The sequence below is a fragment of the Homo sapiens genome, chromosome 18 (genome assembly GCF_000001405.40).
Source record: "Homo sapiens chromosome 18, GRCh38.p14 Primary Assembly".
Lineage (NCBI taxonomy): Eukaryota > Metazoa > Chordata > Mammalia > Primates > Hominidae > Homo > Homo sapiens.
In genome coordinates, this window is record NC_000018.10 from 23,855,742 (window position 1) to 23,870,229 (window position 14,488).

Consider the following 14,488-nt stretch of genomic DNA (forward strand, 5'->3'; position numbering starts at 1 on the left):
AGCCATCCACTTCAAGCAGAACATTTACACTCTATACCTACATTACTCTAAGTGTGGTTTTGAGGCTACTTCCTTATGGAATCATTTCTGCAGGTATCGAGTAGGGAGAGGTGAGAGGGATGGGGCTGAAAGATGCAACTTGCCAGGAGGTCTTGCAAGTAATGCTGAGTTGGTCCTTTTAGTTGTGCCGAGTGGACAGAAAGGCACCGTCTCCTCCCCTTAGCCCATGTCACAGCTAGAATAGTAATAGCAAATACTTACGTGTGTGCAAGCAACTCCTGTAAGGTTTTTACATGTAATATTTAATCCTCACGACAATCCTGTGAAGTAGATATTGTTACCTCCATTTTTACAGATGAAGAAACTTGGTTGTAAAGTGACCAATTTGCCCAAGGTCCAGTAAGTGGTAGAGTTGGGATTCAAAGCAGGTTACCTGGTTCCAAGTTTATGTTCTTAATCACATACAAAATCCTTTATAAGCAGATATTTGCCAAAGGGAAATAAGCAGATATTTGCCAAAGAGAAACTTAATGGGATATGAAGAGTCGTATTTAACTTTTTTAGGATGGTCACTGGGGTAAGATATTTTCACAGGTATTAGGAGATAGGTGATGGCCTACATTTGGTAGTAATTGAACAATAAAGTGTTATTGCCTATATGCCAATAAAAATGTATTTCTAATACTTCCCTTAGTCCCACAGAAGAGAATCAGTGTGTAGGTAGATCCCAGCTCTGAATGCAGTGCTTGGCTCCCCAGGGCTCGCGGCACTTTCTCTTCCCCTCTCCAACCTCGAGTTCTGGGTTCTCCAGGCACAGCCATAGCCCACTGCTTTTCTGCCTCTGCTCAGCTGTTTGTGTTTTCTTGTCTGCCCGGATCTTCAGTTAAAAGGACCTGCAGATGGTTGAGGGTGGATGACTCAGAGTGACCCTCCCACCCCCCACTGTGCTTTCCTCTGAGCTCTGGCCCTTGCAGGTAACAAGGGACATTAAGATCCACTCTGTCACCCAAGCAGGGAAATTGGGAGTCTTCCTTGTCTTCTCTTCTTTCCTCTACTCCTCATCCAGAATCTTACAGTTCCCAGAAACCTCACCCCAAAATAGTTTGGGAGCCCATCCCTCCTCCCCATCTGGATACCTTTGCCCTAGGTTAGCCCCCAGTCTCTCTCCTGACTTGACATCCTGCTGCTGCTGCTGCTGGAATTCACCCTCTGGGCTCCATCCTTCACACAAGTCCAACCACACCCTCTCCTCCTTAACAGCTGTTCATGTTGCCTTGTTTGTAACTTGCCAAGTGCCAGGCACTGGGATGAAATTTTGCATGCACTGCCTCATGGGTTCCCAGCAATCCCAGGAGGCAGCAGCTACCGTGTTCTGTCCCTCATAGGTATGAAAAGCAGGCTTTGGGAAGTTAAAGAACTTGCTAAGATGGTGTGTCTCATATGGTCAGAGCTGGATTAGAACTGCAGCCTTGCATGCACAGGTCTCAGCTACTGCGCTGTGCTGCCGTGTCCAGCCCCTCTGTCCTGATGATCTGACACCACCTACCTCCTCAGGCCATGGGGCAGCATTCCCTGCCTGGACATCTGCCCCAGCAGCACCATGCTTGTGTTGTTCCCTGTACACACTGAGTGATCTCCCGCTCTGTTCCTTCTGTCTGGAATGCGCATCCCAACTTCTACCCTATGACTCTGCCCTTTAAAGCTCAGGTCAGGAGTCATTTCCCCCAGGGAAACTTGTCACCTGCTACTCCTCTGAACCTCAGTTAGATTCTGTGTAGGTTGTCATCATTTCCACTTATGGGCCATCTGCGGGAGCCCTCCAGGCTCGGGGGCCATGTCCCTTCTTGCGCCCTCAACACCTAGTGCTAAGCCTGACCCATCTACGACGGTCATCCATGACCATCCACAATGGCCATTGGTCAATGACCTACATTCTGTAAGTGCCTTTTATCTGCCTCTCTCCATTCTGCCTTGGACTATAAGCAGGCATTGTATCTATTTAACTGGCTTTGCACACCAATTAGTCCACTATAGTGTAAGTGAGCACTTTAAAATTGTGTGTACAAAGATGATGATTTTTGCTTCCTTTACTTTGTGTACAGATGCAAGCCCAGAATCACAGGGCGGCAGTGTGACCGATGTGCTTCCGGGTTTTACCGCTTTCCTGAGTGTGTTCCCTGCAATTGCAACAGAGATGGGACTGAGCCAGGAGTGTGTGACCCAGGGACCGGGGCTTGCCTCTGCAAGGTAAGAGAGATCGTGCAATGCCAGACAACAGCTGCCGGTCAGCAGGAAAGTGCTTCATGTTGAGTCAACATAGAAAAGTATGTGGGAAATGGGACTGACCCGTAAGAGATGTTGATAGTGTATGTAGCATTTTATAGTCACGATCTCATTTTACAGAAATAGTTAGGAGGTGAGACCCCTTTTATCTTTTGGAGAGGTCTCAGACCGCCTTAGAATCTGATGACGGATATAGACCCTTTCCAGAAAAATCAGCACAAACTTTTATCTACAGTTTCATGAGGTTCATAGGTTCACCTAAAACCCATTCCTGGACCATGGACTCCAGGTGATCATCTCTGCTCCAAGGGGTTCCGCCAGGTTGTAGGAGACCTTCCAATTCCCAGGAGATGTTTTAAGGTGGTGGTGAGTGAGATGAATTGGTCTCCCCATCCTGTGAACCGTATGGTGCTATTTCTCTACTTGCAAGATGCCCCAGGGGCATCTTATGAAATTTAGAGAATTCTCTCCTCCATTTGTGTGTGGTATAAAAGTTTAAACAATTAACATGGGATGAAAGCTTAATAATTAACATCTCTTTTAATGTTTTGCTCACATCCTCATCCTAACATCTTGTGTTGGTATTTAATTTGTGCAAGTAGCTAATTGCAACTAGGGAAATTTTGGAACACGTGATCTCTTATTTCATGTTTTGCTTCAATAGGAAAATGTAGAAGGCACAGAGTGTAATGTGTGTCGAGAAGGCTCATTCCATTTGGACCCAGCCAATCTCAAGGGTTGTACCAGCTGTTTCTGTTTTGGAGTAAATAATCAATGTCACAGCTCACATAAGCGAAGGACTAAGGTATGCATTGACAGAAAGTGCTGGGGAACATTTTGTACATGGATTTGTTAAATGATAAGCATATCCCTCGCTGCTCCTTGGCCTGCAGTGTTTTAAAATTCTTGTTTCCTGAATTCGTCAGTTGTTTGCTCGAATGCCATGTGTTCAGAGGGGCTTTCCTTCACCACTTCCTATAAAATAGCACACCTTGGACACTCTTGCTGACCTTACCCTTGTCTTCCCCATAGGAGTCATCACTCCCTATTTAACATTTTGTTTTAAAATTTGTTTATTGCCCTTCTTCTTCCATCCCTAGAATGGTGAGTTCGCTGATACACCCCTAGTGCCTAGAACAGGATCTGGGACATAATAGATGCCCAATAAATCTCATTAAATAAATCGAGTTTGTCATTTTCCCCTTTAAAAGAAAACCTTGTTTCTATACTCACAACACTCTAACACCAAATGTGTGGGGTTTTTTCTATACTAAAAATTCTCTGATTCTCCCAGACACTCCGGGGTGTCCTGCAATTCAATTCACTTCTGACACTCTCTACCTGGAGGTGGCATCAGACTGCACAGGCTAAGGGCTCAGTTCTTCCAGACTGCTCCCACTTCAGATGCCAGTTGCAAGTCCCAGGCCTCCAGTACTTCTCCAGTGCTTTGCTACAAGTTGGGGGTTCCCACAGCCCACTCCTCATGTTTATAATCTGCTATAATGGCTCCCAGAATTCAGGACACACTTTCCTTCCTATTGCTGTTTATTATAAAGAATATGATAAAGGATACAGAGCAACAGCCAGGTGAATAGGTGCATAGGGTAAAGTCCAGAGGGTTCCAGGCATGGGAGTTAGGGCGCACCATCCTCCTGGCATGCAGACGTGTTTACCCACCCAGGAGCTCTCCCAAACTACCATTTAGGGTTTTTTGTTTGTTTGTTTGTTTTTTGGTGGCTCTTTCATGTAGGCATGATTGATTAAATCATTAGCTATTGATAATTAACTCAATCTCTAGTCCCTCTCCCTTCCTCAGAGGTTGGGGGTAGGGCTGAAAGTCCCAACCCTCTCATCCTACCTTGGTCTTCCTGGCTACAAGCCCCCATCCTGAAGCTACCCAGAGGACTCAGCCACCACTTATCTCATTAGCACACAAAGAGACACTATTACCACATCAGAGTCCAAGGGTCTTAGAAGCTCTGGCCTCAGGAACTGTGGACTAAGACCAATTACTATGGCAAAAGATGCTCCTATCACCCCTATCATTCAGGAAATTACAAGGGTTTTAGGAGCTCTGTGCCAGAAACTGGTAGTAATAGCCAAATCCGCATCTCTCATGATGTCTTGTTATGTCACAATATCACACCCCTCACTTCTCATTTTTACTTCTCTTCTTTCTGTTTTGCTTTCCTTCTCACCTATTTTATCATATCTTTTCTTTGGTCACTTTTCTTTTCTTTTTTTTTTTTTTTTTTTGAGACAGGGTCTCTGTTGCCTAGGCTGGAGTGTAGTGGTGTGATCACAGCTCATTGCAACCTTCGCTTCCAGGGCTCAAGCAATCTTCCTGCCTCAGCCTCCTGAGTAGCTGGGACTACAGGCATGCACCACCACACCTGGTTAATTTTTGTATTTTTTGTAGAGTCAGGGTTTTGCCATGCTGCCCAGGCTGGTCTCAAACTCCTGGGCTCAAGCAGTCCTCCCACCTTGGCCTCCCACAGTGCTGGGATTACAGGTGTGAGCCACCACACCCGGCCTTCTTTGGGCATTTTTAAAATTAACTTCATAAAACTAAAACTTTTCTTGTTTTCATTATTCCATGAACCAGTAACCTCATGCTTGCCTTCTTTGTGTGAGTCATGTCTTATATCCAACAAGTACTCAAAAAAAGATTTTTTTTTTTTTTTTTTAAGATGGAGTGTCGCTCTGTCACCCAGGCTGGAGTGCAGTGGCATGATCTTGGCTCACTGCAACCTCTGCCTCCCGGGTTCAAGCGATTCTTCTGCCTCAGGCTCCTGAGTAGCTGGAATTACAGGCATGCCCCACCACACCCGGCTAATTTTTATATGTAATAGAAACAAGGTTTCACCATGTTGGCCAGACAGGTCTTGAACTCCTGACCTCAGGTGATCCACCCACCTCGGCCTCCCAAAGTGCTGTGATTACAGATGTGACCCACCGCACCTGGCCCCAAAAATACTATTTTATATATTTTACTGCCTGCCTATTTCATATCTTTTACTGCCTGTCTCCTAAAAGGAGTGTAGCTAGTAATTGGAAAAAAAAAATACTTTGTAAATCTGCTCTGAAGTCTCTTATCCCCTGGGAACCAGAAAGCATTAATCCAATCCTATGCTTGCTCAGTTCTTTCTTTTTTTTTTACCTCAAAATTAACTGGCTTCCTTTGTGACCAGGAAAAGATTTAATTTTGATGCTCCATTTAGAGAAAAATAATAATAGCAGGCCACTGAATTCCACATCACATTTTTCTTTATAAGGAGCTTGCCATTAAATGCGCCATGGTCCTAGTTTTTATTCATACACTTATTTCTTTATTATTCAAACACTCATTGATCACCTACTAAATGTCAAGAACAATGATGTGTGCTGGGTTACAAAGATAAATCCCACACATGTAAGGCCACTGCCTTCCCAGAACTCCCAGTGGCAATGGGTCAGACGGGGCTCTGGCTCGGGAGGGCAGGTGCAGGAGTAGACGCATAAAGGAGGCCTCTGAGGCAAGGAGGCTGCCCGTGGAGCTTTCTGTAGTACATCATGCACCCATCACCCCAGGGATGCCACGACCAAGACGTTTCCATCCCTTGCTTCTCTCCCTCTTTCCAGTTTGTGGATATGCTGGGCTGGCACCTGGAGACAGCAGACAGAGTGGACATCCCTGTCTCTTTCAACCCAGGCAGCAACAGTATGGTGGCGGATCTCCAGGAGCTGCCCGCAACCATCCACAGCGCGTCCTGGGTCGCACCCACCTCCTACCTGGGGGACAAGGTAATGATGTCCTGCTGTTCTTCTGGGCCCTCAGTGGGCCTCTGCTATTGCTGCATGAGCATCATTTCCTGGAAATCTGGAAGGAAGCATCCAGCAGTTCAGGTTACTAACGTTCCAGAAATGAGCTGAACTAAAAGTGAGGAAGAGACCCTGCCTCCTGCTGTGAGGGGCTGAGCAGGCACACACTGCGCCCCACCATTGCCATGCATGAGCTACCAGCAAAGGAAATCACCCACAATGTTTTTCTCAGTTTTTACCTAATGTCAAAGAATTTTCCTCCAGGGAAATAACCATTTAAATACTATCTATTGCAAATGGGACATGCGTGCTTTTAAATGCCAATGCTGAGAATTCTTTATTTTAAGGCAGAAGAAAGCCTCTTTGTTAGGAAAACGAAAGCTAACAAGTGACTCACAAGCTTATTAAAAGAAACACAGGATCTGGTGGCAGTTCGACTTTCCTAAGTAGAATCACATAGTTACACACTCCTCAGGAACTTACAAACCACTTGCTCTTCCTTTGCTGCAAGAGTTATTATGCCAGAGGCTGGCCACCTCCATCCATTTTATGAGGACAGAAATGCAGGCCTCATGTGGAAACATGAGGTGACATATGTTTCTTAGCAAGGGTGGAACTTGCTAACGGGTGGATTTCACAGGGCCTGGCTCAGGGGATGCCAAATTCTCACATTAGGAAGACTAAAATAATAGGGCCTTGTTGGCCTGAGGTCTCTAACTTTGTCTTCTGGGTGAAGGACTGTGGGTTTTGACATCTGAGTGTGGGAAATGTTGCCTCTCTTCTATGATCCCACTTCTCTTTCACTTAATACTCCTCTTTACCGCTATATGACGGGCCCATGTGTTGATTATCTATTGCTATGTAACAAATTACTCCAACACTTCGCAGCTTAAAGCAGTAATGATTATCTTGGATGAGGAATTCAGGAGGGGATGGCCCAGAGTCTTCCTAGGTTACTGTCAAGATGTCAACCAGGGCTGTAGTCCCCTGGGACTGCAGCATCTGCTTCCAAGCTCACCCACATGGCTGTTAGCAGGCCTCTGCTTCTGGCTAGCTGTGGGCTGGAAGCCTCCATTTCTCATCACGTGAGACCCTCCATAGGCTACCTGAGGGTCCTCATGACATGACAGCTGGCTTCCCCCAAAGCAACTTATGGGGGGTGGGTAACAGGGTGGGGGAGAGAGAGAGAGAGAGAAAGAGAGAGAGAGAGAGAGAGCTAGCTCAAGACAGAAGCTGCAGTGTTTTTGTAACCTAATTTCAGAACTGCCATGCCCTCACTTCTCCTTTATTCTATTCATTAGCAGCAAGTCACTAAGCCCAGCCCACACTCAAAGGGAGGGGAATTTGGTGGCTCACGCCTGTAATCCCAGCACTTTGGGAGGCCGAGACAAGCGGATCATCTGAGGTCAGGAGTTTGAGACCAGTCTGGCTAACATGATGAAACACCTGTTTTTACTAAAAATACAAAAATTAGCTGGGCATGGCGGCAGGCGCCTGTAGTCCCAGCTACTCAGGAGGCTGAGCCAGGAGAATCATTTGAACCTGGGAGGCGGAGGTTGCAATGAACTGAGCTCGAGCCATTGGACTCCAGCCTGGGCGACAGAGCGAGACTCCATCTCAACAAAACAAAACAAAAAGGAGGAGGGGGAATTAAGCCCCACCTCTTGAAGGCAGGAGTGCAAAGAATTTGTGGCCATGTTTTTAAAACCACTTTAAGCCCATCAAAAAAGCAATACTTAAATCACAATAATAATTCAAGACATTGCCTTGGAATACTTCCAGGCTTGAAGATCAAAGCTCTGTAAGGCTTTGTCAGGTTACAGACTCTAGGGAAAAGCTTCTGTTGAATGGGATCCTAGAAGAGCGTGGCTTCTTTCCCCTGCCTGCTCTAAGTTGTTGGCATTTTCCTATAGGTTATTTTGTTCTGTCTAATCAGAGGTGACCTTGCCTGTGATTTTCATCCTTCTGTCACTTCTTCCTTCTTGATTGTGTTTTACTTAAAGGATGGGAGGTGTCAGGACCCAAGGTGTGAAGTAGCTGTCAGAAAACTGACCATTCACTCCATGTCCTCACCACCATCATGCTGCTTGTGGGACATTGAGAGGTCTGTGCACCTGCTGGAGTTGTCAGCCATGGCTACTGTACACAGCAGAACTCACAATAATTTGGGAAATGTTCACCATCTGCTTTCAGGAGAATTGTTTTTGGAGAAAATTTATTTTTAGAGGTTATTTTGTGACTGATAGATATTATCCAGTTCTCTCAGTTAAAAAAGAAACCAATGGCCTAGATTTCCTAGAATAGTTGTGGATTAAATAAACATTTTGGTTTAGTAATCATCTAGAAAAAAAAAGGAACACGACTATTATTTTTCTTACTTTCTTTCTTTTCTTTCTTTCATTTTTTTTTTTTTTTAAAAGAGACAGGGTCTTGCCCTGTTGCCCAAGCTGCACTGCAGTGGTACAATAATAGCTCACTGCAGCCTCAAACTCCTGGGCTCAAGCGATCTTTCCACCTCAGCTTCCTGAGTAACTGGGACTACAGGTGTGCACCACCACACCTGACTAATTTTTAAATATTTTTGTAGAGACAGGGTCTCGCTGTATTGCCCTGGCTGGTCCCTAATTCCTGACCTCAAGTGATCCTTCTGCCTCGGCTTCCCAAAGTGTGGGATTATAGGCATGAGCTACTACACCCAGCCATATTTTTCCTTTTAATAAAGGTATCTTCTTGCTTGTAAAACTCAATCATGTTCATGCTAAACATTTCAAATGACATTAAAAATAGCATAAAGTAGAAAAAATACCATCCTCAACCCCACCTCCTAGATACAACCCTTGTTACCAGGTCGAGTGTGTTTCTTTCCACACCTTGTGTGCCTAAGTGCTTTTCATGCGGGTTGATGTTGACATCATCTCTTTTAATGCTTGTGCTATTGATGCTATTAATTCCATTTTAGGTTTCTTCATATGGTGGTTACCTCACTTACCAAGCCAAGTCCTTTGGCTTGCCTGGCGACATGGTTCTTCTGGAAAAGAAGCCGGATGTACAGCTCACTGTAGGTATCAGAGCATGACCTAAGTGGCAGGAAGTGGCAGTTGCAGTTGGTGCTGATCTAAATTTAGGACATCTTGATATGTGGCCTACAAAAAGTTTAGATTAAATCATTTCCAATATTTTGCAGAAACTAAATGAAAGTTGAAAGCATGTAACATCTTTTCAGGATCCTGCCTCCTCTGACCAAATGTTGTCTGTCTTCTCTGCCTCCAAAGTACTTAACCGTATTTTGCTTTTGCCTCTCACAAGTTACTGCCTCATGTTAAACTTTTTTTGAACTTTTTTTATCTTTGTAGAGACAGGGTCTCACTGTGTTGCCCAGGTTGGAGTTGAACTCCTGGCCTCAAGCAATCCTCCTGCCTTGGCCTCCCCAAGCACTGGAGTTATAGGCACACACCACCATGGCCAGCTGAGGAGTTTTTAATTTTAATTTTTGTAGAGATAGGATCTCACTATGTTGCCCAGGCTGGCCTCAAACTCCTAGGCTCAAGCAATTCTCCCTGCTCAGCCTCCCAAAGCTCTGGGATTACAGGCGTGAGCCACATGTCCAGCCACATATTAAGCATTTTTTATGTTTCTATCTTTCAATTTTGTTTCATAAATGTCTTTGAATCCTTACCACGGGGCAAGATCATATTGTTGGACTCTGTAAAGGACAGGTGACCCCTTTTCTCAAAAGGAGGGGAGATTAGAGAAATATGCCAGGAACTCCAACCCACTGAATGGTAACTATTGGAGGAGAGCCAAACAGGGCCCTCTCAGTGCTGGGGTCTGGGTAGGGGGAATGGGAGTCATGTGGTCTGAGAGGCCCTTAGAAGACTTTGTGGTTCATTTTGAGCTAAGTCTTTAAGAATGGGCATAAGAAGAGAAGTGCCCTTCCAGGGGCAGGGACAAAGGCTAACAGGACTCGGGGGTGGTACAGGGCAGGAGGCTGTGCTCATGGATGACCAGTCCAATGGGGCTGTATCATCAGTGTGTGCAGAGTCATTGAAAACAAGTCTGGAAGGGTTTGATGCTATAACAGGATTTTTAGTCTGCCTCCCTGGTTCAAGCAATTCTCTTGCCTCAGCCTCCTGAGTAGCTGGGATAATAGGCATGGGCCACCATGCCCGGCTAATTTTTGTATTTTCTTTAGAGATGGGGTTTCACCATGTTGGCCAGGGTGGTCTCAAACTCCTGACCTCAAGTAGTCCACCCACCACTGAGGGGACGTTTGTTTTTTGAGAAAGGAAGTAACAACATCCACACACTATGTGCCTGGCACACAATCCAGTGCGGCAGTCTAGAAAATTCCTTGAGGGCAAGGGTAGTATCACATCCTACTTTGAATTCCCCACGACACAGGGCATAATACCCTAAACATAGGGTAGGGTGCCACTGCCTGAAGTCGGCTCTATTTCTGGTTTATTGGGTGTGATTAATGCGATGTAATGATAGCTTTGGGAAAGGTTTTCTCATGTCATGTACTGTATACAGGGACCAGCAAGTCACACACACCTCATCACAGCATATTCTTGGTAGATATTTGTGTTCAGGCACTGCTGTGTTGCTTTGTTTTTACTGGTATGCAAATCTACTAAACTGTTTTAAAAACTCCAAGGAACCTTTGCAGAATATCTTGAAGATAAAGCAGCAAAGATTTTAGAGTTATAGTCTAAGGAAAAATAGCTACACAGTAAAAACACAGTCACAGCAGTGCTGTATTTCAGTTTCATGTTTTTGCAGAGCATCTTGTAGTTCAGGCCAGGCGTATTTTTTTACTGCCAAAGAGTTTATTGTGCAAACCATTAGAATTCACTGAGAGGTAATGACCAAATTTTCTGTTTAATTTTACCTTCAAACATGGAAAATAATTTAGGCTCACAAAACATTTTCCCTGCTGCTTTGTTCTAATCCACTGTAATTAAGAGCCTCTAGGGCATGTTTCTTAGATTAAGGTTTTAAATGATATGTGATCCTAGGTAATGGCCTTCTTTCTGAAATACCAGCCCTAATGAAATACCAAACACCTTTAGGGTTTTGTGCTACAGCAGAAAAGCTGGGACATGTGTGTGTTTTTGCAGCAGGGTTGCTGATGGTAGGGTGCTGATGCAGTAGTGCTGGCCACCCCACCTTGCCCTGTTAAGATGCACATGTGAGCCACCATAATGGGGTGGGCTGGAGGCTGAGAGCGAGTGAGGCTGGGTCCCACAGGGGGAGGCAGCAGGGGAATTTTTCGCTCCACATGCCAGCTGCAGCTCCCTGCATGTGCCAACCCTCTGCCCTCCCCACCCTCCTCAGTAACCCACCCACCAAAGCACTTTCTTCCCACCGCAGGCTGGTTCGGTGGCCAGTAATGAAAACAGCACTTCCTGCATTGACTGCAAGGCATAGTTTAAAAAATTTTTTTTTCTGCCAGGTGCAGTGGCCCACACCTGTAATCCCAGCACTGCGGGAGGCCAAGACAGGTGGATCACTTGAGGTCAGGAGTTTGATACCAGCCTGGCCAACATGGTGAAACTACTAAAAATACAAAAATAAGAAGGGTGTGGTGGTGAGCACCTGTAATCCTAGCTACTAGGGAGGCTAAGGCAGGAGAATCGCTTGAACCCGGATGCCAGAGGTTGCAGTGAGCCAAGGTTGTGCCATTTCACTCCAGCCTGGGCAAGAGAGTGAGATTCCATCCCTGCCAAAAAAAAAAAAAAAAGAAAAAAAAAAGAAATTCCATCTTTTTAAGCTATTTTTGTCCAAGGCAATTTTCCTGATTTCCTATTTGTGAAAAGACACTGTGTTACTTATAATTATTCTGTTTCCATGTCACTAATATTTTTACCAGTCAGTTAATTCTGAACTATTTTTTTAAGTCAGGTATGTCATATGATGTAGACCATAGAAATGTTTTCTTAGATCAGTTATAAATCTTGAAAGATCCCAGTGAAGGTACTAACACATTCATGGTTTTCTTTAAACAGGGTCAGCACATGTCCATCATCTATGAGGAGACAAACACCCCACGGCCAGACCGGCTGCATCATGGACGAGTGCACGTGGTCGAGGTAAAGGAAGAGCAACCATAGGATGGTCCTTTCTGTTTTGTGACTTAATTATTTCAGACAATCATGATTTTTACTCATTTTAAGAATTGTAAAATATGGATTCTATTTATATAAATATGTTTATATATACAGGTTGAGCATCCTTAATCTGAAAATCCAAAATCCAAAATGCCCCAAAACGCAAACTATTTTGAGCACCAACATGACACTCAAAGGAAATGCTCACTGGAGCATTTCAGCTTTCAGATTTTCAGATTAGAAATTCTCAGTGGGTAAATACAATGCAAATGTTCCAAAATAGAAAAAAAATTCTGAAACTTGGATCACTTCTGGTCACAAACATTTCAGAGATACCCAACTTGTATAGATTCAAAACATGAATTATATAAAATGTGGAGTGTTTGATGCCCATGTGGCTTTCTTGGTACCATCTGTCCAGCCTTTTTACACTTTCTCTCCCATTTCACAATTAATTATCCATATCTTAAAAACCCCATGAGTCAGCCTGGGCAAGATGGCAAAACTCTGTCTGCACAAAAGCAAAATTCAATAGGCATGGTGGGGTGTGCCTGTAATCCCAGCTACTTGGGAAGCTGAGATGGGAGGATCGTTTGAGCCCAGGAGGTCGAAGCTGCAGTGAGCCATGGTCACGCTACTGCACTCCAGCCTGGGCAACAGAGTGAGACCCTGTCTCAAACAAACAAACAAACAAAAAACCTGTGAGCTTATAAATGCTATGACATAGCTCTCTGTCATCCTCAGGTCTCCCTCAGTGCCTGAGACCTGGTTAATGTTCAACATATGCTTAGGATGAATGAATAGAAAAGCTATGAAAATGTTTTACATCCAAAGAAATAAGAGTAATACTAGCAAAATAAAGGAAAGCTCATCAGATCATAAAACTTTTGTTATACTTATTTGGTTACAACTATTCCTTAAAAATAGTGTTCCATTTATATTATTAAATATGACCAGTACCTCTAGGTGAAACTTTTTGAGTACTTTGAACTTGCAGACATATTTTAATGTTTCTGAAAAGGTACATCTATACAATGGAATACTATCTGGCAATAAAAGAAACAAAATATTGATACTTGCTATAAGACACAAAAAAAGTATCATATTGTATGATTCTATTTATGTGAGACAGGTGATATCAGTAAAATGATAGAGAATCTCTAAAAATTCTGTCCTTCATAAAAGCAATGAGAGAACTGGCAAACAGGGAAAAAAAGTTCAGAATCAACGTTTTCAGAACTCTGGAAATTACTCAAAGCCTTGCAGCCATCTGGAAATGGCACACAATGTATAAAGATGCAATTTATATGATAGTAACATACCAGAGAAGAGGAGGGAATGATACTAATAGAAACAAAGTTTTTGTATACTGTTGAAATTAAGCTGGCATTTATATAAATCGTCCAGCATGGACACATGCATAGAGACAGAATGTAGATTAGTGGTTGCCTGGGTTTGAGGGTGGTAATGGGTAGTGACTACAAATTGACACAAGGGTTCTTCTTAAGGTAATAGAAATGTTCTAAAATTACATTATGATGATGTTTGCATGCTTCCGTAAATTTATTACAAATTGTATGCTTAAAATGAGGGAATATTATTGTATGTAAATTATTCCTTAAGCTGCTAAAATATAAATTAAAATTATATAAGCATCATATTTGTATGTTAGTAATAGCTACCATTTGTTAAGAATGGTGCTGAACACTTTATATATATTGTATCATTTAATTTACCTTAATTATAATGATAGCACAAGACATTAGGTATTACTGTGCCTATTTAAGAGATGTAAAAACTGAGTTCAACAAGGGCAACAAAATATAAAGGTTAAAAAGGCAGGCTTTTGGAGGCCAGGCGCAATGGCTCACGCCTGTAATTCCAGCACTTTGGGAGGCTGAGGTGGGTGGATCACGAGGTCAGGAGATTGAGACCATCCTGGCTAACACCATGAAACCCTGTCTCTACTAAAAATACAAAAAATTAGCCAGGCGTGGTGGCACACACCTGCAGTCAGGAGTTTGAGACCAGCCTGGCTAACATGGCAAAACCTCGTCTCTACCAAAAATACATTAAAAAAAAAATTAGGTCAGGTGCAGTGGCTCACACCTGTAATTGCAGCACTCTGGGAGGCTGAGGTGGGCAGATCATGAGGTCAGGAGTTCGAGACCAGCCTGGCCAACATGGCGAAACCCTGTCTCTACTAAAAATACAAAAATTAGCCAGGTGTAGTGGCACGTGCCTATAATCCCAGTTACTTGGGAGGCTGAGGCAGGAGAATCACTTGAACCCGG

At 43.8% G+C, this 14,488-nt stretch overlaps 1 protein-coding gene across 13 annotated transcripts in view; it reads left to right on the forward strand.

The window, feature by feature from the left end:
- The window catches only part of LAMA3 (laminin subunit alpha 3), a 265,614-nt gene that overhangs the window by 166,289 nt on the left and 84,837 nt on the right, over positions 1-14,488 (forward strand). For all 13 annotated transcript variants that reach the window (XM_011525978.3, XM_011525982.3, XM_011525980.3 and 10 more), the window contains 5 exons: positions 2,103-2,247; positions 2,948-3,088; positions 5,905-6,066; positions 9,044-9,142; positions 12,093-12,176. In XM_011525978.3, coding sequence (XP_011524280.1) covers positions 2,103-2,247; positions 2,948-3,088; positions 5,905-6,066; positions 9,044-9,142; positions 12,093-12,176 — 631 coding nt within the window. The remainder of the gene's footprint in view (positions 1-2,102; positions 2,248-2,947; positions 3,089-5,904; positions 6,067-9,043; positions 9,143-12,092; positions 12,177-14,488) is intronic.